The sequence below is a fragment of the Homo sapiens genome, chromosome 4, assembly GCF_000001405.40.
Source record: "Homo sapiens chromosome 4, GRCh38.p14 Primary Assembly".
In the NCBI taxonomy this organism is placed as follows: Eukaryota; Metazoa; Chordata; class Mammalia; order Primates; family Hominidae; genus Homo; species Homo sapiens.
In genome coordinates, this window is record NC_000004.12 from 124,421,304 (window position 1) to 124,447,147 (window position 25,844).

General features: G+C 37.1%; 1 pseudogene; it reads right to left on the reverse strand.

The window, feature by feature from the left end:
- On the reverse strand, positions 14,370 to 15,882 carry TUBAP10 (tubulin alpha pseudogene 10; annotated as a pseudogene).

Below are 25,844 nucleotides of genomic sequence, written 5' to 3' on the forward strand. Positions count from 1 at the left end.
GACAAAATTAACATATGAATAAGACTAATGTATAATATTCTATGGTTTGTTTTGGTTTTCGTTTTTTAGTGTTATGAATGTTCCTTTTAAATAAAACAGTTATATTATTCAGGAATTACTGAATGTAAACATTATTTAACCAGTTTTTATCACTTACTGCTAACACAGGACATGCAACCCAATTCAGAATCTGAATAGTTAACTTTGAGAGAGCCCAGGAGTGGTTCAAATGCTCCCCAACACATCCCATCAGCTTCCACACAGCCTTTCCCATTTCTTTTTTCTTCTGTTGTAACCTCCCACTGGGGGACCCCATTGTCACCACCTGAGTGCGGCTCTTGCCATCTCCACAGAGCATCATTATTATTCCTTATGGTCTGACATTCAATTTTGATTTCCTTGTACTGTACATCCATTTGTCTTTGAATTTTATATCTTCTATTTGAGTTTTGGTTTCAACAGGAAATAGTTTCACTTCACAGAGAATATGCAGTCAAAAATTTAAGCTAGTTTATGAAGAAATTCTTCTTGTTTTTTTCTATTTCCTGTCTCTCTCATGGCTGTTACTATTCTTTGCTTCTTGCTAGATTGTCTTGACACATATACTTAGAGGTCCCACCATCAGTGTTTTCTGTTTATCCTGATTATGACTTATGGGGCTCTATTTTAGGACCACTTAATAACTGGCAAAGAGCTGGTCTAGTAGAAAGGTTGGATATAGAACTCTCAGAAGATCTACATATTTCTCAGAACATTTTCTTTCTAACTCTGCAATTTGGTGTAAAGATTTGCTTAATACACCAGATAAATGGATGCCTGGCTTGCAGAAAAACTCCTAATGCTACAGGTTCTTCATGGAGAGTTTTGGAGTTTACTTAATTTCAGAAGCTTTGGACTTTATTCTCATGTACAATCCCTTTTTTATTATCCTGCCTCCCTAATAGTCTGTTTCTTGTAAAACCTGTGTTGGAATGAATGAATAAAAAATTATTGCTTGAGGATGGCAGTTTGATATATTTCTCTAGGCACTGTTTTCTCTACTACATTACTCCCAACACCTCAACATTCAGTCTTGATTATTTTCTGACCTGAGGAAGCATCAAAACCTATTCTTACCAAATGTAGAGAGTTTTACATTTTATGTATCCAAATTTAAACAAAACTAAAAAGAACATCAAGCTAAGTAGCATAAAGTAAAGGTGAAATGTTGCTTGCCAAGATTTCAATAACTTGATCATCCTTCATAATGTAGATGTTTAATTAACTTCATGAGGTCTTGTTTTTAATCTCACCCTCCAAACAGCATGCTAAGTAACCCACATAACTAAACCTGAAACTTAAAATTACATTAATAATAGCTAACATTTATGCAGAGCTTACCATACGCCAGGCGCTCAGCAAGTATATTACATACATTATTTCTATTTATCCTTGACAACAACACTATGTGTGGGCATAACATGGAAAATTGAAGTAAATTTCTAAGCTAATAAGCAGTGTAAAACATTATTGCAGCCCAGGCAGTCTGATTACAGAAAATACCTCATGAATTCTTAACATATGAAACTTTAACATGTTAAAAGTAAAGACATTCTTCTTTTCAGTGTCAAGTAACAAATAGTTTTAACAATACCTTACATAAACCTACGTTAGTTTTCCATATCCACAATCAACTTTTTCTAATGTCCTTTTTTTGTGTTTATATTACTTTATTAAATTGTGTATAAAGCATTCTCCTAGGCATACACATTCTTTTAGTCATTATCTCAACACTCATACTCAGGAGTAAATGTAACCATCAGATAATCTTTTCTCAATGCTCATTTTTATGTCAAGGCAAGTATAGGCAGATAATACAAATGTATCTTTCTTCCTGAGGTTAACATTTTAGTTTGGTTTATTACAGTAGCCAGGGCATCCCACTCAAGTTGGACCCAGGAACCTTCCTTTGTCAAAAAGCCCACTAGTGCCTTTCCTTAGAACTATATAGAAAACAATGCTTCTGGTGCTATGAAAGAAGGAGTCTCTAACATGACTCACCCTCTTGGGCTCATATGCACTTTAGAAAGATAAGCACACAGATGCAGGCAGACACAAATCCGACCCAGCATGATCTAGTGCTATAATTCTCACCTGAACTTCATGCTGTGAAGGTTCCATGGTGAAGGAAAGGATTTGTGCTCTCTGGGAATGGGATCAGGGAAAATTTTAGAGAGAGTGACTTTTGAGCTGGAATCTGAAGGATATGTAAGAGTGAAAGGCACAAAGGAGAAGTATTCTAAGTTCTATTATAAAACATGTCTTAAATGAATTAGATTCATCTACCAGAAAATAATGCCTCTCACCATACATATCCAGAGAAAAAAAGGGAAATAAAACATAATTAAATAACCAATTAATGAATTTTATAAAGAATTCAGATTTTTGAATCTGCTGTGAGCATTTCTACATTTTTTTGTAAATTTGAACTTTACTTTTATTTTATTAAAACTTTACTTTTAAGTAGGAGGCAATGTGTGCTGGTTAAGAGCATGTACTCTAGAATGAGACCAAGATGGCTTCATTAAATCCTGACTCTGCTGCTTAGTAAAGTAGTTGGGTGAGGTTGTATAAATTATTTAACTTCTCTGAGCCTCAGATTCTTCCTCCAGAAAATCGGGGGAAATAACATTTATCTTAGTGGAGTGATGTGTACAGGATTTGACATGTCATGGATTCTCAAAACATATATATATATGTATATATATTTATACATACATTTGAAGTCCTCAAAATAGGGAAATATCTCACATATTTTGAAGCCCACTCTGCATAGTATTTTATTTTAGGTAAAATGAGTGAATGGATGAATAATTACACAAATGAATGGAAGGAGTTAATTAAGGAGTGAGTGAATTTGGCATACTTCAATTCTGCAAGTTATAGCCTTCAAAAAAGAAAGGTGCCTGTAGAATATTTCTGTAAAGAAAAATTAAAAATTATTTATTTATCAGTACATCTTGCTGTGCTATGAAGATGTGATATTATTCTGATGTTAGGGGGATATGTAGTCAAGTAATCAGAACTACATGGATCCTGTTCTGCTCCATCTGCACTCTTTATAAACTCCCTGGAATTTTATGATAGTTTAATTGTATTATGTTACTTACATGAATATATACCTTTAAAAGTTCATATGGGTATAAAATAAGAATGCAGTGAATGAAAAAAAGTGACACTTTGGGACAAAATTAGCCAGCAGTCTAAAATGGTGTATGTCACAAAGGTGAAATCTGCATTAGGACATATTCTGGAAAAACCTTTTTCCCAAGAAAAAGTGGAGAATTGCTTTGTGGGGAACATCACTGATAATTCAAAAGGGTTCCCTGTGAATAGCCTTAAAATATTATATTACAATGTTCATGAAGCATTGAAATGTTTGGATTTAGGGGAATAACTTTAATGAAAAGCATATATTGCTTTTCCCCCTTAGTTGTTCTCTTTTTCTTCCTTTCTTCCTCTCTCTTAATCATGCTGAAATGAATGTAAGGTGAGACTAATTCTATGCTGCACCAGACAGAAAGCTAATGGGATGAATGATAGGGAATGAGATACTGTGTATAAAGCTGCTTGCAAGAAGAAGATTGGAACGACTATGGATTCATTTAAGAAGAAAGTAACTAAAAGAATTAAAGATTTATTAAAGTTAACCAAGTTGAAAGAGTGAAGACATTAGATAAAGAAAGTATTTGTAGAGGGGATATTGGGTTTAGAATTGATGGAAGCAGGTTAAGTAAGACTCAAGTGACTATGGAAGACCAAAAGTTATCTATATCACAGGGCTTAAATGTGGAGCCCTATATGAAAGGGCTAAGAATTTGTGTTCATCTAAAAATCAGGGCTGAAATCAAACTTGCTGAGTGTGAGTATCAAGAAATTGGGTCATTAGTGTCCAGCTGGAATTCAGTGACCAAGCCAGACTTATTATTGATATAGAGCATGCATCCTAAAATTAACAATACCTTAACTGAATATATATTTGTCACCTAAATAGCATATGATATGTTGATGATACTTACAAACCAGGGTAAAATATAAGAGCACATGACTGGGCTGCATAAGATGTAACAAGCAATGCAATCTTACTAAGATGCACGTATCCTTCTACATGCTTTATACATATTTTTTCATTTATCTTCATTATAAACCTATGCAACGGGTACTATTATTTTCCCTATTTTGCAGATAAAAATTGAAGAACCTAAAGTTAAACAACAATCCTAGATGAGCCAGCTGGTTAGTTAAGGAGCTGATTTGACCCAGCTTCAGTACTTTAACCACTCTAGCACACTGCTCCAGAGGGACACCTCCTAAAGGCTGCACCACTCTCCTTTCATTTTTGTGGAAGGAGGGAGTGTGCTTTGTACATGATAACAACATCTATTTGTGCATATGTTCAAATTTTAACTCAGGATCTTCCTCTGTGTTTCCCTTCTGAGAATATACCCTCACCGACTGCCCAGTGCTCAGAGCCAAAAAAAGCTGCAGTCTTTGTAGATACCTCCCTCTCAAGTTTTCCCATTCAACATGTTACCTAATTCTACCAATATCACCTCACACCTACTGAGTTCAGCCAGTTCTCTGTTTCCGCTGCCCCAGACTTTTCATACCTGGACTTCTGCAAACCTTTTCTGTTGATTTTTTCCCCTAATTCTCTCTTACCCTCCCTCCCACTGCTCCCCAATATAGCCTTGGCTTTGCAGAGAAATCTTTTCAAAATATTGATTTGATCACATATCTCTCAGTTTAAAATCTTTAAATAATTTCTCATTTTTTTTTGTACAAAGACCAAACTCCCTAGCATTATTTAGGATAAGCAAACTTAGCAAAAATCTCTCCAAAATTCAATGATTTAAAGATGAAAATTTATCCCTCTCTAATATAACAAAGCAGGACAAGGTCTCCAGGTTGGCAGAGGATCATGTGTAAGATGTCATTGAGCATCCCAAGCTGAAGATGGTAAAACCTCTTTGATCACACACCTTCCAGCATCACACTGCTCTCACCATTAGAGCTCACAGAATGGAGAATGAGCCTGTGGAGGAAATATACCCGCTGCCTTGAAATCCTGTCTAGGTTGTGGTAACATCACTTATACTCATGTTTCCTTGGAGAGAAACCAGTCACATGGCCACATTGGATGCAAAGGAGACTGGGAAATGTAGTCTCTGACTGGGCAGCTATATGCTGTTACTCAAAGGGGAAACAGATTCTGATGGACAGTTAGTTTAGTCATCTCTGGTGCACCTTCTTCCCAGCTTCATTTTCTACCATCATCAACCTTGCCCTTGATTGCAGTCACAACTTTACATTTGCATGTGAACACCTTACCTGAATCCAATTATCTTCTTCTCATACTGCAGGTATCAAGTCAAATGGTACTTGCTCAGGAAAGTCATTCCTCACCCGCAGGTTAGGTTAGGTCCTACCGTACAACATATGGTACAGACTCCTTTTCCTCATAGTACTTATCACAGTTTTAATTTCTGCATTTTACTCATGATTATTCATTATATTTCTTTGTTACTGGATTTTAAGTTCCTCAGAAGCAGAGGTCTTGCTCACTTTAGGACACCACCATATCCCTTCCTAGCACAGTAACTGACTAGATACATAGTAATTATTGTTTATATGTTGTTTTTGAGTTTTTCTTAGTAGTTTTGCCACATGATACTGTGTTAGTCTTTAAAGCATTTTCCTTATGTTATCTTTTACTGCAACCTGTACTCACTCATTCAATAAATGTATGTCTTATGCTAGACAATGAGGTACATAGACAGTATGATGAGAAATAGAACAATGTGGTCTTTGATCTGAAAGTTTTTATTATGTAGTTAGGGAAAGGGCACAAAAATCCTTGAGTATAAAATATCTGAAAAAAGGTGTTGCTGAGTGGTATAGGATTAAGTGCTGAATGAGTAATATTGACACAAAGTATTATATAATCTCAGAAGAAGTCAGCTGAGTGAGGCCTGCTATGCTGGTGGAAAGTTTTCTAGAGGAAATAAGGGGTGGAGCTGGACCTTCACCTGTAGGTGCAGGAGCAGTGCCCAAACATTTTGAATATATATGAGACTTTGGAGATACAGCTAAACACCTAAACTGGAGTTGGAGCTAGTCTGATATTCCTCAATAAGTCTGAACAGGAAAGTCCTTTGGGAACATCCTCTGACCTCCTGTGACCTCTTCTAGGAAGCAGCTTAGCATTTGAACTAGAGACAGGAATTGCCAATTGTCCTGGCCTGTGTCCAAGCAATTGTGTGTAAAATGGTTAGCATCCTGTGCTGTGTAACCAGCAGCATACTGTCTTGGCCTACAGTGGGATATAAAATCACACTTTAGTTGATTTGTTATAGCTTGGCCAAAGGCTATAGGTAAAAGGAACTTTCATCAATATAAAAAGCCCGAACATTTCAGACAAATCTGGAAAAAGGTTTGTGGCCATTGGAGCTGCTAGGTGGTGAAATAAAAAAATACAATATTCAGATGGGGAAAATACAGAGATGTTGGCAAGCTGAAGAATATTCCCAAAAGACTAGAAAAAATAAAGATCTCACCCCATCAAACCAAAATTAAGCAAATGGATAAGTAATTTTGCCCCTGAATAAAGGCAAATTGTAGCAATCTTTGATTGTGTTCCCTGTATTCCCCAACTCCCCTGACTCTCCTTGCCAAGCCCACCTGCCCTGTTAGAGGTTGGAAATGCCAGGCACAGCCCACTGGGAAAGCTGGCAGCTATGGCAAGACATGAAACCAATGCTGACCAACTGGGACCTGAGTGGAAGGAGGCTTTGGGTTAATGCTTTCCTACTAAAAGAAACAGAGACTCAAAAGAAATCACCTCTTTTTCCTTCACTGGGTTGGTGGTGCCTGCCTGTGCCTTGTGGAACCATCGCAGCTGAATTGAGATCATGAGGGTGACAATGCTGATGATGGGGAGGAATTCAGATGAAAAAATAACAACGGCATCACTAAACTGTGGCTCTGTGACAGACCTATCTAGCCGTATCTGGCACCCTATTATGTGAAATTACAAATTCCCTTATAATTTATGTCATTTGACCTGTGTGTTCTATTACCTGCAGCCCAAAACATCTTATGTGATAGAATATTTAATCAAATGAGGTATCAGATTCATTTAGATTAAAATAAAATGTAGCATAAGAATCAAAGTAAGGATTTTTAAACTGATTTACAAAATTATTTCTTACACATTATATTTGCTTGTACAAGAAATTAAATATATTCTGGTAATGTAGTGCCAAAACATCAGAGACCAACAAATATCAATCACAGTTCTCCTCATGTATTTGAGCAACTGAAGTATTCATTCCTGTTGAATTTCAGTTTGCAGCATTTCAAAATTGATTGATCAGTTTTCTTTATGTAATACATTAAAATATACTTTTCATTCCTCTAGAAATGTAGTTGAAATTTCATGTCCTTTTCACTTTGAATGTAGAAATTTGGGTTCGTTGACCTGGCAAAAAAATGTTCCCACCCACGAAACCTGTCAATAATGACAAAATGAGCCAAGTAGAGCATTTGTAACAATCTCTCTATAAAGGATATTCTTTATACAATTTGAAAAGGAATTAAAATTACAAATGCAAAATTGAGCATAGGGTCTTGTAAGACCAAATTCAAGTGAGAGACCCTGATGTTTTACCTTCAGATGTTTTACCTTCATTAGCTTCAGGGTATAACTATCTCTGATAATCAGTTTTTAATTAAAAAAAAAAGTCAAAAGCCTCAGTCTATTCTTTAGATATCGATATCAAAATTCACATCACAGGTTCCAATCATGAAAAGCCAAAATAAATACCATTAACTTCAAAACCTGATCTGTAGCATAAAGGTTATTGGGTGAAACGGGCTCAAGGCAATCTTCCTTCTTTTTCTAAAACTGTGCCCCACAATTTTTTTCCTATAATGTCTTCTATCTGAAGTTTAGTCATAAAGTCTGTTCCCGACAGGGGAGAGAAATGAGGACATAATGGTATGATCTATGCTTCCTGCCAAGCCCGCTGCTTCGGTGATGGAGGTGCTTTGTACACTGGGTTATTGGATTATGGCCTCTGTTCCTGCCTGCATCCACCAGGGAGCCAAGCGCTCTGTCTTTATTTCGTGACCCTTGTGTTTACACTATTTCCCTCTCTGTGCCATGATTTCCTCTGAGCTATCAAATACTTCTAATTCCTATCCTCGGCCTGTGTGTTTCCTGCCAACTCCCAGGGGCAATCAGTCGCTTCCTCACTTCTTAGATTCTGCCTGCCAAACTTCCTGCTCAAACATGTAACTGTATACATACACACACACACACACACACACACACACACACACACACACATCCAATTTTTATGTCCCTTCTTATGGCTGTCTTCTAAAGTTGAAGAACTTTGAAACTATAAACTGTTTATCCTTTCTCTTAACTACCAAAACTTCCTTCTTCTTCTTCTTTTTTTTTTTTTTTTAATGCAACACCTTTTAACTCATTTAAGGCTGGCCTCAGTGTCTGTATTCCTCCAGCGTGTTCATTTTGCAGTGGAAAGTTTTCAGGAAAATTGGACTTTACCCATTTATAGACTTCAAGCCTTATATTTTATTCATTTGGAATGGATTTTAAAAATGGGTTACTAATTTTGAAGGTTATTAATTTTTTGAAAGTGACTTAAATAAGTAATTTCCTGTTTGCTCCCCTAGTGGCCCCATGAATTGTGCTTGAATTGTTTTCTCATCTCATGACCGAGTAGACTGAATTATTAGGGCAGGATTAGGACCATGTACATCTCAGTACAGCCTTAGCACCTGGTTCAAGGACTGGAATATAGTAGGTGCTTGATGATTCTTTGTGGAATGGAATGAAAGAGAAAAATATTTAGTGTATTTAAAATTTATTTTAATTATTAGAGTAATTATATTGTAGAGGTAAATTTTTTAAATATGGAAAATTTAGATTTTCTGTATAATCAGATTGTTCAGATTTCCTCCATGTCTGTACCTAAAACCACCAAAAATTATAATTTTTAAATGTGAATTTAAATATTTCATTTCATTTACTATCTAAAATGCTTGAACTGCTGATGGCTCATTTTCATTTAGTCCTAATGTCCTGGTTACTTTTTAAAGTAAAATGTTATTTTACTTATATATCATAGAGATGGCAATTCATTCATAATTTGAGTTTCTTTCTTTACATGTCACCCACATCTCTGTTTACTTACCTGATGCTTCTGCTCTTTCCTTTTTTCTCTAATTTTTATTACTAATAACAGTGTTAAGAAATATATACATTTCTAATTTCCAACAAGTAAGCCTAGCTCATATTTTTAATTGTTAAAATCAGGTCTAATTTTAAAGTGAATGCACACAAATAATGGGTCCTTGCTATTTCCACACATATAACATGAATTTCATGAAGGTAATTAGTAAGCAGAATAAGAGAAAATTCCACACATCCCTTCTAAGAGAGAGGGGCATTGGAAAGTTTCAAACCCAAGTGGTTTCAAATCCAGCTCTGACATTTAGTAACTGTGTGTTATTCAGGAGTTACTTAACTTCTTTGAACTTCAGTTTTTTCATTAGGAAAATAGAAAACATAAGGACCTCAACTGGTGGTTAGCAGGATAAATGGTATTAAAATACATTAATTATTTAAGTCATGGTAGATTATATATTGATACTATTATTTTGTGGACTTTTAAAGTCAAATAGACAACCAGCTATAAATATCAGAACTTGATTTTAAAATGAAAAAGAAAAACTATATTTAAATAATCTATTCCAGGCCAGGCACAGTGGCTCATGCCTGTAATCCCAGCAATTTGGGAGGCTGAGGCGGGCAGATCATTTGATGTCAAGAGTGCAAGACCAGCCTGCCCAACACGGTGAAACCCTGCCTCTATTAAAAATACAAAAATTAGCTGGGTGTGCTGATACACACCTGTAATCCCAGCTACTTGAGAGGCTGAGGCATGAGAATCGCTTGAACCTGGAAGGCAGACGTTGGAGTTAGCCGAGATTGCGCCAACGCACTGCAGTGATAGAGCGAGACTGTCTCAAAAATAAATAAATAAATAAATAAATAAATAGAATAACATATTCCAAATATTTTGTCTACAATGTACTTACAATGTTAAGATTATTTACAACTTCATGTTCTTATGTAAGATTTTGATATTTTATAGGTAAAAAATGAAATATATGTGTTCATGTATGAATTAAGGTATTATTTCTACATACAAAAAAATTTGCAGAACTAAGAAAATTACTCTGGGAAACCAAGAGGAGAAACACACTTCTATTTGCATTAGGTGGATGTCTCAGACACAGCCAAACCTGTATCTAATCAGAATAGGCAGTTCCTGAAATTATAACTTTGAGGTTCTAAAAAGCTTGAACATTTTAAAAGAATTTCTGTTTTACATGACTGTTGTACATTTTAGCATGAGTGATTCCTGTTTAGCTTTTAAGCATGCCAATTCCATGAGTGCAGTTAACTCATAGTTCTGGACTGCCTATTTCAGAACCATTTACAATTGCTTTCTCATCTTCTACTGTGAAAACTCCACAGATAGGGCTTAAATACTCAGGTTCCACACACACTTCTGGCTAGCAGTGACCTGACCATGTGATCCAGCTCTACACTCAAAGATTGAGTAGCTTACCTGCTGAGAAACGTTTTTTAAAAGTGGTTTACAGAGGGCACTGTCCTTTGGTTTTTCTCTTCCCACTTCTTCTGGCTTCAGCCTGGATAGTGGATGTGAGCTTGCAGAGCAGCAGCCATGTTACAACCTGAGACAACATACACAAGACCTGGCCTGTACACTCTGAGAACAACGGAAGAAGAAAAAAACAAAATTCTCTGGAACCCTGGACTACTAACCCCTGCTTCTCTCTGTTAAGATAGATAATTCTTGTGTATCTAAATCATTGCACAGACTTCTGGTTGGTTAAACCTGAATTTAATCCTAATTGATATGAGCTTCAACCCAAGCACAGAAGAAACAAAACATGATTTAACGACTATTTTCACAGTTCTCTTAAGGATGGTACATATCACACACCATTCTAGGCATACTGAAATAAAATTAATTCATTACAGAAAATATATTATTAGGACATTAGAACCTACTTCTCTTCCAGGTCTGGTTGAGAAAGATTGTACCAAACCCTGCTATATAAAATACAGCCTGTAGACCAACAGCATAGGCACCATCTGGTAACTAATTGGATGCCTAGAATCTCAGAATTCTCCCTCTTCACCTACTGAATCAGAATTTGCATTTCACCGTGATTCCCAGATGATTCATATGTACCATAAAGTGTTTTAAATGCTGGATGAATTATGAGTTCCCGAGGTCAAAGGAACAGTATTAAAAAAAAATCTTTTCTATCTCTATTTCCCGGTACAATGTCTAGACGGAACATAATAAGCCCAACCAAATATTTGATGAATGAAACATAACACTGGCTCAGTGTCAAGTATTAAATTCCATTATAGGTTTGATTATCACAAATCTAACTATTATTTGCAAAGCTGAGCTTATGACTATGAGGAAATGAATGAATAATGAGACAGATATCATGAAAAAAGGAAAAGTGGTTAAAAAGTTACAAAGCATAGAATGAAAGAAATCACAGGCTCTAGATGTGCACTGAAATTAAAAGTTTTAAGGAACATAGTCCCCTATAACAGAAAGTTAAAACTGGAAAATTAATGGGTAAGTAATGGGGATCTGTCCTTGCCAAAATTCATTATATTACCTAGAGCTGTCTTGATTTGTCTATTTTAGATTCTCCTATTTGGGAGAGTGGTGGACCACTTGACTCTGACGAAAGCTAAAAATGCTGTCTCATGAGAATGCACACATACACACAGACACACATACACACAGACACACATACACACAGACACACATACACACAGACACACATACACAGACACACAGACACGCTTAATTGAGTTTCAGGAAGTGCTCAGACTTTCTAAAACTTAGCTATCGAAGAAGGTACAGTGTACTTCAGGTAAAGAGCCCTTCATGATGTTTGAATTTTCTACATTACAAGTTAAATAAATGATGGTCTATGAAATCTAGAAATGATTTGGAGAAACAGACTTAGTCTCCCTCCTTACATATTCCACATCCTAAATTAACTTTTGACTGAGGGTTGAATTGTGGCCTCCACTCCACTCCAAATATATTGAAGTCCTAACTCTGGTACCTCAGAATGTGACCTTATTTGGAAATAGGGTTGCTGCAGATATAATTAGTTCGATGAGGTCATACTAAAGTAGAGTGGGCCCTTATCCAATATGACTGATGTCATAGTGAAGAGACACAGAGACAGACACGCGAGGGGAGAACATCAGTGATGATGCAGCCCGAGATTGAAGTGCTGTATCTGCAAGCCCAGGAACACCCGCGGCCACCAGAATGTGGAAGAAGCGAGGAAGGATCCTACCCTGGAAGTTTAGGAGGGGGTATGATTCTGCCTACACCTTGATTTATGACCTCGAGACTCTAGAACTGTGAGAGAAGGGATTTCTGTTGTTTTAAGCCCTCCAAGTTTGTAGAAATTTGTTACAGCAGCCCTAGGAAATAGTGGGAAAACATAATCTAGAATTATAATAACTGATTTCAAAGTGTCTGTCGTGGTTATTAATAAAAACTTTTATTCAGAAGGCATTCACTGATCTTCACTATGTGAATTCACTGATCTTCAATTTGCCATGTAATATACCCAAATAAATCAAGAATAGACTCTTATTCTTAGAGAAAAGGTAGCCTAATTTTAATTTAAAATTTACTTAGTTGATCGGGGTTTCAGTTGTTTCATCAGTGAAATGGACATTAAATGTTTAACATTAAAATTGTCTCTGAGTTCCTCTCAGAGTTCCTATCAGAATTTCTATCAGATATAGATAATAATTGATTGGCAGTTTATTTGCTAAGAAATTATTTAAAATGAATTGTAGATACTTAACCTAAAGAAGAGAAAACTAGCTCTCTTCAATTAGTTGAAAGGCAATTAACTAGAAGAGTTATTGTTGTGTATGACCTCAAATGATAGACGGGAACTGGCAGAGATGAAATTAGGCTAAATATACATAAGAACTTGTTAATTATTTTAGCTTTAACAATATATTCTGGCCCTCAATAAGTTCTTGGTCATAAGACTTGTTTTGCTGAAGAGTCATTTGCCAAGATGCCTTTAAGGGTTTCAGTCATTCCCAAGTTGGTTGGAAGATCATATCTTCCAAACACTATGGGATCAAAAAGGGTATATTTGGAAGATTAATCACTCTGGAGATAAAATGAACTTCAAACCCTGTATCTGTTCCTTAGTAACTATGTAAACTTAATTTCTGAATATCACGTTCCTCTCCTGTAAATACAGATATGAATACCCACATTAAAGTATTGTTTTGAATTATAAAATAATGCATACCAAGTGTATAGTCATTAGTTGACAATAAAGTCTGATTCTCTCCTACGCCCTGTAACTCTATGTGTATTTATATGTGCTACTGTTTACTATGTTAGGATACAAAAATAAACTCCTAAATAAAACAAAAGACCACCATTAAATAATATTTTAAAACAATTATTCAGAAAGATAAGTAATAAAGTATAACCTACTGCCACATGTTAATTTTTATAGTTGTGGGGATGTAGAAGTTTGTCACCAGCCACTCAGGTTTTTTCTACATTTGATCCTTAAGGGGAGCAACAGTACTTTCCTCAGAGCATTTAGAATAGAAAGTCCTGAACAACATTTTGAAGGTATAGGGAAAGAGCAAAGGTTCAAAAACATTGCTAAGCTCTGATCCTTAGAAGCACCAACAAAGTTCTGAGTAATTTGACAACAAAACCAGCCTCCAATTATTTTATCTTTAAAAGCAATTACTTCTTCATGACAATTATTCACATATTTTTAATTTGCAAAAATATTCTCTTTATAGTGAGCATATATGGAGCTGTATACTCAGCTTCTTTAATTTAGCTGCTGTGTGGTATAATTTTATAGTTATTTTGTTTTCAGATTTCATGTTCTGGATGTGAATATTAATGTAGCAATAGTCTGCATGTTTTTTTCACTAGAGATAGGCTGTTTGCCCACACATTCCTGAAAGCAACATGAAAAAAACAGGCCCATCAATTACCCTTTGCAAAATCTACATATTTTCCTATGCTTTCTCTGTGTAAAGCAATGCAAATTACAAAATATTTTAAAATGTATATCTATCCTTTTGGGTGTTAAGTTCTGTTTTGCTGAAGCTACTAAATCCTTCTGTTTTATTTATTTATTTATTTATTTATTTATTTAAACCATGCAAGGAGACTGTTTATTTCCAAAGGATTTTGCAATAACCATAATGAATAGGCTCCAGGCAGTTGTTCTATTCTTCTCCCTCATTCTCATCCTCAGAGGAGTCGTTGCCTACTTCCTCATAATCCTTCTCCAGGGTGGCCATATCCTCCCTGAGCCTTGGAGAACTCACCATTCTTCATGCCCTCACCAGCTTCCCAGTGTACAAACGCCCTCTTGACATACATCAGCTTGAACTTGTGGTCCAGGTGGGCCCAGGCCTTGGCAATGGCAATTGTGTTGTTCAGCAGGCACACGTCACACTGTACCTTGGCCCAGGTCACCCCCAGGCACCACAGTGGGCAGCGGTTAGTTGATACCAACCTTGAGGCCTGTGGGGCAGCAGTACACAAGCTGAATGCTGCACTTGGTCTTGATGGTGGCAATGGCAGCATTGACATCCTTGGGTACATCTCTGTGGTACAACAGGCAGTAGGCCATACACTTGCCATACCAGTAAGCCATATTCCCTAAAGTGCCATACCATCACACTTTGCCATCTGGCTGGCAGGCTGAAAGCAGGCATTGGCGATCCCTGCCAAAAACAGCTGTTGTGGTACACCTTCTCTGCAGATGACTGGCACATAGATGGCCGGGGGGATGTAGATGCGAGTGCTGGCCACCAGGTTGATCTGAAACTCTGTCAGATCCATGTTGAGGGCCTTGTCAAAGTGCAGAGAAGCTGTAGTGGAGGAGATTACTTTGCTAATGAGGAAGTTGAGGTTGGTGTAGGTTGGGGACTCAATGTCCAGGTTGTGGCAGCAATTGTCATAGATGGCTTTGTCGTCCACCATGAAGGCACAAGCTGAGTGCTCTAGGGTGGTGTGAGTGAGTGGTCAGGATGAAGTTGTAGGGCTCAACTATGGCTGTGGACACCTGCAGGGCTGAGTAGTTGGAGAATTACAGCTTAGATTTTGCCATTGTACCAGAGAGCTGCTCCATTAGGAGTGAGGTAAAGCCAGAGCCAGTGCCCCTGTCAAAGCTGTGGAACACCAGGAAGTCCTGAAGTCCTGTGCATTGGTCAGACGGCTTCCAGGTCCAGTCCAGCACTGGGTCATTGATCTCTTTGCCAATGGTATAGTGACCACGGACATCGTTGTTGAGAGCATCCTCTTTTACAGTGATGAGCTACTCTGGGTGGAAGAACTGTTGTTATAGGCCATTTCAGATTTCATCAATGGCCATAGGCTCCAGATCCACAAAACAGTCAGGACACATGTTTTCTAGCACTGGTTTCACAGAAGAAGCTGGTGAAGGTTGACTATCCCCTTCACCAATAGTCTTTTCACTGGGCTTCTGCCCATCAGTTTGAATCTCATGTTCCAGGCAGTAGAGCTCCCAACAGGTTAGCATTGCCCATCTGGACACCTGCCTGCCCCATATGGACTGAAATGTACTCACACATGGCACGTGGTGAGTCCCAGTGGTGTGTCTTATGTAGAGTCACGGTGATGGGTCTCAGCGAGAACTAACCCATCTTTTTAAGGACATTTTGGGTCTTGATTTAAAAAGTTTTAATTTTCCTGACACAAAAACATTGATGTTAAAATGTGCAATTCAAATATATGTGGGAGAAAAGTGAAAGAAACACTGATTCAGCCTTAAGATAAGTGTATCCTAAGAATTCATTTTAGCTTTACTATGTATTAGTAGTATGATTCTGGACAAATTATCTGATTTCTCTGAATTTTTATTCTCTTATTTACAAAAAGGAAATAATTTATTTTTCCTGCAAATCTTAGAGTGGTAAATTTAAATTTAGTATGCATATAAAATTTCTTTGCAAATTATTAAGGGCTAAATGGATAAAAAATATTATTTAACATGATATTATATCTTCATCACCAATTTCCATATTTCTATTGTTTCTTTTATGCCTATCTTTGGCATAATTTTACTCAGCACCTAAGACAACGAATGATAGGCTTGGTCCATTTTATATCTGGCTTGTTATTTTGAAAGTCTGAAGAAAATAAAGACCCTAATTCTCCAAATGAGGAAGATTAATTCCTCATTCAACAAGTGCATTCATTCAACAAATAATTATCAAGCACCAACTATGCACAAGAACTGTGCTGAGTGATGGGCCTGCAACAGTGAAAAATACAGACCATATTTTTCTCTTCATTCAACTTCTATTTTACTAGGTGAGACATAAAATAAACAATCTAAACAAGCAAGAAACTATATGTGAGGTGATGAGAAATGTTAAGGAGTAAAAGCAGAGCAGCAGTGAGTGCTTGTGGATGCAAGTTTATGTAGGGTGACTAGGAAAGGTTTGCTGAGTAGGTCATATTTCAGTAAAGATCTGGACTGATAAAAGTGAGGGAGTGGCCCATGCAGCTATCTGGTACAACAGGGTTACAGGCAGAAGGAACAATGTGTACCAAAGCTCCAAGGCAGAAGCATATTGGCATATTAGAGGCAGAGAGAAGGCCAGTGCACCTGGTGAAGAGTGAATAAGATGAAGAGCTGTAGGAGATGAATTTGGATAGGTAAGTGGAAGAGGCAGATGACCTACAAGCTGTCAGCCATTGTTAGAATTCAGGCTTCTGTGAGAGATAGGAAGTCATTTGCTAGTTTCATACAGAGAAAAAACAGGATCTGACCATTGTTTTAACATGATCTCTCTGGCTATGCTGCCTGGAACACAGTGAAGAAGATCAAGGTGAAACAAGGACATCATTCAAGAGGTCATTTAAATAATTATTGTCTTGGACCAAGATTTTAGTATGAAGGTAGTAAAATTGGTAAGATTCTGAATATATTTTCAGGATACAGCTGTCAGAGTTTGCTGATGGATTAGTCATTGAGTATAAAAACAAAGTGAAGAGTGAAGAATATCTCTAAGAATCATGGCCTGAGCAATAAAATAATAGTATTACCATTTTCTCAGATGGGAAACAAAACGAGAGTCCTATTTAGGAGAATATCAGTCCCCCAGTTTTGGACATTAAAAGTGATTATTACCCATATCATAGCCACACACTTTCTCCTGGGTTCTCACTCAGGAACACAGGCAAACATTACTGACTTCTAGTGAGAAGCCTTGAGTCAACTAATAGAGGAATTCCCAAAGTATGCAGTTATTTTATTTTATTTTATTTTATTTTATTTTATTTTTGCCATAAGAGCCAGGCTTCCAGCTTTCACCATATAAATAGCAGTGAAAAAAAACAGTGGTTATAACTCATTTCCCTGTCAAGCCTTCAATCAATATTCTCAGCCATAGACAGTAGCTTGTCTCACCAGCAGGAAGGCAATAGTCAGAACCAGCTGCCCACATCTTTAAAAGTCCAATACCTCTAAGTAGCAAATTTGAGGTAACCCTGGAAAATTCACAGAACTCTCTGTTCTTCAACTAAATAGGAAATAACACACTCTGTGATCTACCTTTGTTACAGGGTTATTGTAAGGATCAAATAAGACAAAATATACAATAATGTTATATAGGCATAGTAGTCATGACTCTGTTTAACAACAAAGCCATAGTGAGACTATTTTTTTTTTTGCAAATAGACCCTTATCAGCTGTAGATGGTATGATTGGAAGAATATAAGTTGTTTTTAAAAAAAATCAGTTCCAAGCAAGTTGCTTTTTTACTGATATATAATATTTATAGATATTTATAGACACGTGATATTTTGTTACATGCATAGAATTTGTAACAATCAAATCAAGGTTTTAGGATACCCATCACCTCAAGCATTTATCATTTTTATTGGGCTCATTTCAAGTCCTTTCTTCCAGCTATTTTGAAATATGCAATACATTTTTGTTCACTGTAGTCATTCTACTATCGAATAGTAGAACTTATTCTTTCTATCTGACTGTTTTTTTGTACCCATTAACCCAGCTCTCTTCATCCCCCTCCTCCTACCCACATACTCCTCCCAGCTTCTGGTATCTATGATTCTACTCTCTACCTCTATGTGATCAACTTTATTATCTACTACATATGAGTGGGAACATGCAACATTTCTCTTTCTGTGCCTGGCTTGTTTCACATAACATAATGACCTCCAGTTGCAATCATGTTACTGCCAATAATAGGATTTCAGTCTTTCTTATGGCCAAATAGTATTCCACTATGTATATATACCCCATTTTCTTTATTCATTTATCTATGGATGAACACTTAGATTAAGTCCATATCTTTGCTATTGTGAATGGTGCTGCAATAAACATAAGGGTGGAGTTATCGTTTTGATATACTAATTTCCTTGCCTTTGGATATAAACCCAGTAGTGAGGTTGCTGGATCATATGGTAGTTCTGTTTTTAGTTGTTTGGATAAATCTCCATACTGTTTTCAATAGGGGCTGTACTAATTGACATTCTCACTAACAGTGTTTAAGAGTTTCATTTTCTCGACATCCTCACCAGCTACTGCTATTTTTTGTATTTTTTATAATAGCTATTCTGACTGGGGTAAGATGATAGTTCATTGTGCTTTTTATTTGCATTTCCCTGCATTAGTGATGTTGAGCATTTTTATATACCTGTTGGCATATGTACATCTTCTTTTGAGAAACGTCTACTCATGTTCTTTGCCCATTTTTTAATGGGATTATTATTTTTTTCCTGTTGAGTTGTTTGAGTTCCTCGAATCTTCTGGATATTAGTCCTTTGTTGGATAAGTAGTTCTCAAATATTTTCTCTCATTCAACATGTTGTTTCTTCATTCTTTTAATTGTTTCCTTTGCTGTGCAGAAGAATCTTAGTTTACACTTGCCACATTTGTCTATTTTTTGTTGTTGTTGCCTGTGTTTTTGAGGTCTTAGCCAAAAAATCCTGTCTAGACCAATGTACTGGAATATTTCCCCTATGTTTCCATCTAGCAGTATTAGAGTTCTGGGTCTTATGTTTAAGTCTTTAATCCAGTTTGAATTCATTTAAGTGAAAGATAAGAATCTAGATTCATTCATCTACATATGGATATCCAATTGTCCCAGCACAATTTATTGAAGAGGGTTTCATTTTCCCAGTATATACTATTGGTGCCTTGTTTAAAATCAGTTGGCTGTAAACACATGGATTTATTTCTGGGTTCTATATTCTGTTCCATTTGTCTATGTGTCTAATTTTATACCAATACTATGCTATTATGGTTACCATAGCCTTGTAATACATACTGAAGTCGGGTATTGTAATGCCTCCAGCCTTATTCTTTTTGCTCATCATTGCTTTGGCTATTGGTTATTTTGTGTGTGTGTGTACTTTCATAAAAATTTTATGTTTTTTTATTTCTGGAAGAATGCCATTGGTATTTTGATAATAATTACATTAAATATGTAGATTGCTTTGGGTGTTAGTAATTCTTCCTATCCATGAGCATGTGATATCTTTTCATTTGTGTGTTCTTCAATTTTTTCATCAGTGTTTTTGTTTCCTTTGTAGAAGTCTTTCAACTCTTTGGTTAAATTTATTCCTAGCTCTCTCTCTCTCTCTCTCTCTCTCTCTCTCTGTGTGTGTGTGTGTGTGTGTGTGTGTGTGTGTGTGTAGTTATGGTAAATGGTATTGGCTTGTTGTTGTTAGTTTATTATTGGTCAGTAGAAATGCTACTGATTTTTGTATACAGATTTTGTATCTTGTAACTTTACTGAATTTATTTATCAAACCTAAGGATTCCTTTGGTTTTTAAAAAGTCTAAGATACTATCTGAAAAAAAAGACAATTTGAAGTACTGTTTTCCAATTTAGATGCCTTTTATTTCTTTCTCTTGCTGATTGCTTTGACTAAGACTTCAAGTACTATGTTGAATAAAAGTGGTGAAAGTGAGCAAACTTGTTCCAGTCCTTAGAAGAGAGGCTTTCAGCTTTTTTCCATTCAGTAGAATGTAAGCTGTTAATTTGTTGTATATGGCATTTATTATGTTGAGGTATATTATTTCTATGCCTAGCTATAGTTAAGAGTTTTTATCATGAAGGGATTTTGAATGTCATCAAATGCTTTTTCTGCATCTGTTGAGAGGATAATATGGTTTTTGCCTTTCATTCTGTGGATATGATATATCACACTGATTGATTTGCATATGTTGAACCATTCTTGCATCCCTGGAATAAATCCCACTTGATTATGGTGTTTTATCTGTTGGATGTGTGCTGTTAGATTTAGTTTACCAATATTTTGTTGAGAATTTTGGCATCTATGTTCATCAGGGATATTGACCTTTAGTTTTCTTTTTCTATTGTGTCCTTGTCTGGATTTGGTTTCAGGAAGATTCCGGCCTTATAGAATAAGTTAGGGGAGAATTTCTTCCCCTCAACTTTTTGCAATAGTTTCAGGAGAATTAATGATAGTTTTTCCTCAGTAAAATTCAGTAGTGCAGGTATCCGGTCCTGTGCTTTTCTTTTGGGAAACGTTTTACTACTGATTCAATATTGTTAATTTTTCTTTGTCTGTCCAGATTATTTCTTCCTGATTCAGTCTTTATAGATTGTATGTTTCCAGGTATTTATGGCATATAGTTGTGCATAACAGTCCTTGACGATCTTTTTTATTTCTGTAAAATCAGTGATAATTTCTCTTTTTTTAAATTTCTGATTTTGTTTATTTGGGTCTTTTCCTTTTTTCTTGATTAGTCTAGCAGTTTATTTATTTTGATTACCTTTTCTAAAAACCTTTTTTGTTGATCCTTTCCTTTTTTTAATTTCATTTAGAAATACTACTCTGTTCTTTCTGCCTACTAATTTTGAATTTGAGTTGTTCTTGCTTTTCTAGTCTCTTGAAGTGCATCATTAGATTATTTATTTGAAGTCTGTTTACTTCTTTGATGTAGGCATTTATTGCTATACAGTTCCCTCTTAGCACTGCTTTTGCTGTATTCCACAGATTTTGTTTGTTGGGTTTCCATTTTCATTTGTTTCAATAAATGTTTTTTATTTCTTTTTTTTAATTGACCCAATGGTTGTTCAGAAGCATGCTATTAAATTTCAGTGTATTTGTACAGTTTCAAAAGTTGCCCTTGTTGATTTTTAGTTTTATTATGCTGTTGTCTGAGAAAAATACTTAGTGTGATTTTGGTTTTTTGAAGTTTTTTGAGACATGTTTTGTGGTCTAATATATGGTCTATTCTGGAGAATGTTTCATGTGCTGATAAGAAAAATGTGTATTTTGTAGCTGTTGGATAAAATGTTCTGTAGGTGTTTGTTAAGTCCATTTGGTCTAAAGTGCCATTGAAATCCAATGTTGCTTTATTGATATTTTGTCTAGATGATCTGTCTAATATTGACACTGTGTTATTGACATCCCCAACTATTATTATATTGGAGTCTATTTCTCCCTTTATATCAAATAATAGTTGCTTTATATATATATTTGTGCTCCATTGTTTCATACATATTTAGAGTTGTTATACCCTCTTACTGAATTGATCCCTTTTTCATTACATAATAACCTTCTTTGTCTCTTTTTACTATTTTTGACTTAAAGTCTGTTTTACCTAATATAAGAATAGATACACCTGCTGCTTTTCGCTTCTGTTTGCATGGAATATCTTTTTTCATCCTTTTTTTTTTCTGTCTACATGTATCTTTAGAGGTGAAGTGAGTTTCTTGTAGACAGCATATAATTAGATCATTAAAAAAACTATTCAGCCAGTCCTAATTTTTCAAGTGGGAAATTTAATTCATTTACATAAAAGGTTATTCTAGATATGTCAAGGCTTATCCTTGTTACGTTCTGAATTGTTTTCTGGTTGTTTTTTATAGTCTTTATTCCTTTCTTTTTCTCTTACTGTTTATCAATGTGATTGTATGGTTCTCTGTAATAGTAACATTGGACTCCTTTCTCTTCATCATGTATGTTTGCTCTACCAATGAGTTTTATACTTTTCTGTGTTTTCATGGTGGTAGATATTATCCTTTCACTTCCAGGTATAGGACTTCCTTAAGCATTTCTGGTAGGGCTAGTGTAGTGCTGATGAATTCTCTCAGTTTTCTTTTCCTGGGAAAGACATTATTTATCTTTCACTTATGAAGAACAACTTTGCTAGATGTAGTATTCTCAGCTATCAGTATTTTATCCCTTCAGCACTTTGCATATGTCACTCCATTCTCTCCAAGACTGTAAGGCTTTGGCTGAAAAATCTGCTGTTAGTCTGATAAAGTTTCCTTTATCTTTGACTAGATGCTTTTCTCTTGCTGTTTGTAGGAATCTGTCTTTGTCTTTGACTTTTGACACTTTGACTATAATGTACTGTGGAGACATTTTTGGATTTTATCTGTTTGGGGATTGCTGGGCTTCATATAACTGGATGTGCAAATCTCTTGGTAGACTTGGGAAGTTTTCATTTATCATTTTGTTAAATAGGTTTTTGAACCCTTTCATTCTCTCTTCACCTTCTGGAATATAAATAATTTGTTTATTTGATCTTTTTTTAGTGTCCCATATGTCATATAGGCTTTCTTCATTCTTTGTTATTCTTTTGTTTTTTTTGTTTGACTGGATTATTTCAAATACCTATCTTCAAGTTCTGAAACTACTGTTTCAAGCTATTGTTGAAGCTCTCAATTGTATTTTTTATTCATTCACTGAGTTTCAGTTCTAGGATTTCTGTTTGGCTCCTTTTTATGATAGTTATCTCTTTGGCAAGTTTCTCATTCATATCCTGAATATTTTTTTCTGATTTCTTTCTATTGTTTTTCTTTGTTCTCCTGTATCTCAATGAGCTTCTTTAATATCATTTTTTTTTAAATTATTTTTCAGGCATCTTACAAATGTCTTTTTCATTGGAATCTGTTTCTGGAGAATTATTGTTTTTCTTTGGAGTTCTCATATTACCTTTTTTTCCCTCTTTATTGTGTCCTTTCATTGATATTTGTGCCTCTGGTATAACAGTCACTTTTTCCATTTTGGGGGGTTGGCATTTATAGATTGTTTTCTTGAAAGATGTACTAATAATATTGGTTGGTAGGGTACTTCAGCTTTGATATAGGGTGCATGCAGTAATGTAGTCTTAGTATTTCTTCAACTTCAAGCAGCTTCAGTGTTGTCTGTGATTTCCTCAGTGCCATCTGTGATTTCCTCAGTGCACTAGGCTATAGTTGTTAGTGGAGGCTGTGGTGAGGCTTTGCTTTGGATGGGGATATTGAATGGGCCTGTTCTTGGCCCCAGTGGTGGCAACAGTGGGCTAAGTATGCCTGTTCTTGGGCCCCCAGGCAGCATATGCAGGTGTTAGCAGGTCCAGATGGGACAATTATTGGGACTCCAGACTACTTGCTCAGGTGACAGAAGTGGTAGCAGTGGCCTAGGTGGACAGGTAGAACCTTAGGCTCCTGGGCAGTATGCATGATATGGACAATGGCAGTGACAGTGCAGGACAACCCTTGTGCCTCAGACAGTAATGCTGGTTTTAGCAGTGGCTAAGATGGCTGGGCAGGCCAGTCCCCAGGTCCCCAGGTGGTACATGTGGGTGGGTGCCAATGGTCGTTGTAGCAACAGGCCGAGTGGGTTTATCTCAGGCCCTTAGGAAGACTGCAAAGATGCTGGCAATAGTGGACACGGCAGGGCAATCCCAACACCTCTGGATGGCATGCTTGGGTGCTGGGGGTGTTTGGGGTCTATTGTTAGACCCTCTGGTGATGCACACATGTTCCCGGGGTAACTGACAACAGGGTGATCCTCAGGTCCCCACGCAGCATGCTCAGGTACTGGAAGGTGCAGTGCTAGGTTGAGTAGGCCTGTCCTCAGGTCCACCTAATGGTGTGCATGGCATCAGGCTGTGTTAGCAAGGGCAGAATAATCTCTAGGCATCCAGGCAGCATGCTTGAGTGGCAGCAGTGACAGTGGTGGTCGCGGGCAGGGAAAGCCCATCCTTGGGATACATGCAAGTGTATGGCAATCCTGCTTCTGGGAGTGGCAGGATTGCTGTCAGTGGCAGAGATCCCAGGAAGGTGGCTTTCAGACTCTGGGGAGCACATGATTTGGCTCTCTTTGTCCTGAGAGCAGCCTCCCTGGTGCATTGCTGCCTGTTCCCCAGGGTGTGGGACTCTGTGGGTTAGAGTGCTGCAGACCATGTGTATTAGTCTGTTCTCACACTGCTAATAAAGACATACCCAAGACTGGGTAATTTATAAAGGAAAGATGTTTAATTGACTCACAGTTCCACATGGCTGAGGAGGCCTTACATCATGGTGGAAGGTGAAGGAGGAGCAAAGGCATGTCTTACATGGCAGCAGGCAAGAGAGTACATGCAGGGGAACTCCGCTTCATAAAACAATCAGATCTCATGAGACTTAAGTACTACCATGAGAACAGCACAGGAAAGACCTGCCCCCATGATTCAATTACCTCCCACCAGTTCCCTGCCACAACAGATGGGAATTATGAGAGCTACAATTAAAGATGAGATTCAGGTGGGGACACAGCCAAACCATATCATTTGGCCCCTGGCCTCTCCCAAATCTCATGTCCTCACATTTCTAAACACAATCATGCCTTCCAACAGTCCCTCAAACTCTTAACTCATTTCAGCATTAACTCAAAAGTCTGCAGTCCAAAGTCTCATTTGAGACAAGGCAAATCCCTTCCACATATGAGCCTGTAAAATCAAAAGCAAGTTAATTACTTCCTGGATAAAATGAGGATACAAGCATTGGGTAAATACAGCCATTCCAAATGTGATAAATTGGCCAAAACAAAAGGGCTACAGGTTCCATGCAAGTTCGAAATCTAGTGGGGGCAGTCAATCTTAAAGCTCCAAAATGATCTCCTTTGACTCCATGTCTCACATCCAAGTCACATTGATGCAAGAGGTTGGTTCCCATGGTCTTGGGCAGCTCTGCTTTGCAAGGCACAGCCCCACCTCCCGGCTGCTTTCACAGGTTGGCATTGAGTGTCTTGCTTTTCCAGGTGCATTGTGCAAACTGTCAATGGATTTACCATTCCGAGGTCTGGAAGATGGTGGCCCTCTTCCCACAACTCCACTAGGCAGTACCCCAGTGGGGACTCTGTGTGAGGACTCACACCCCACATTTCCCTTCTGCACTACTTTAGCAGAGGCTCTCCATAAAGCCTCTGCCCCTGCAACACACTTCTGCCTGGACATCCAGGTGTTTCCATACATCCTTTGAAATCTAGGCGGAGATTCCCAAACCTCAATTGTTGACTTCTGTGCACCCACAGGCCCAACATCACATGGCAGCTGCCAAGGTTTGGGGCTTGCAACCTCTGAAGCCATGACCTGAGCTGTACTTTGGCTTGTTCTAGCCAGTTCTAGAGCAGGTGGAATGCAGAGTACCAAATCCCCAGGCTGCATACAGCAGGGGGGCTCTGGGCCCAGTGCATGAAACCATTTTTTCCCTCTAGGCCTCTAGACCTGTGATGGGAGGGGCTGCTGCAAAGGTCTCTGACATGCCCTGGAGACATTTTTCTCGTTGTCTTGGTGATTAAAATTTGCCTCCTCATTACTTAAGCAAATTTCTGCAGCCA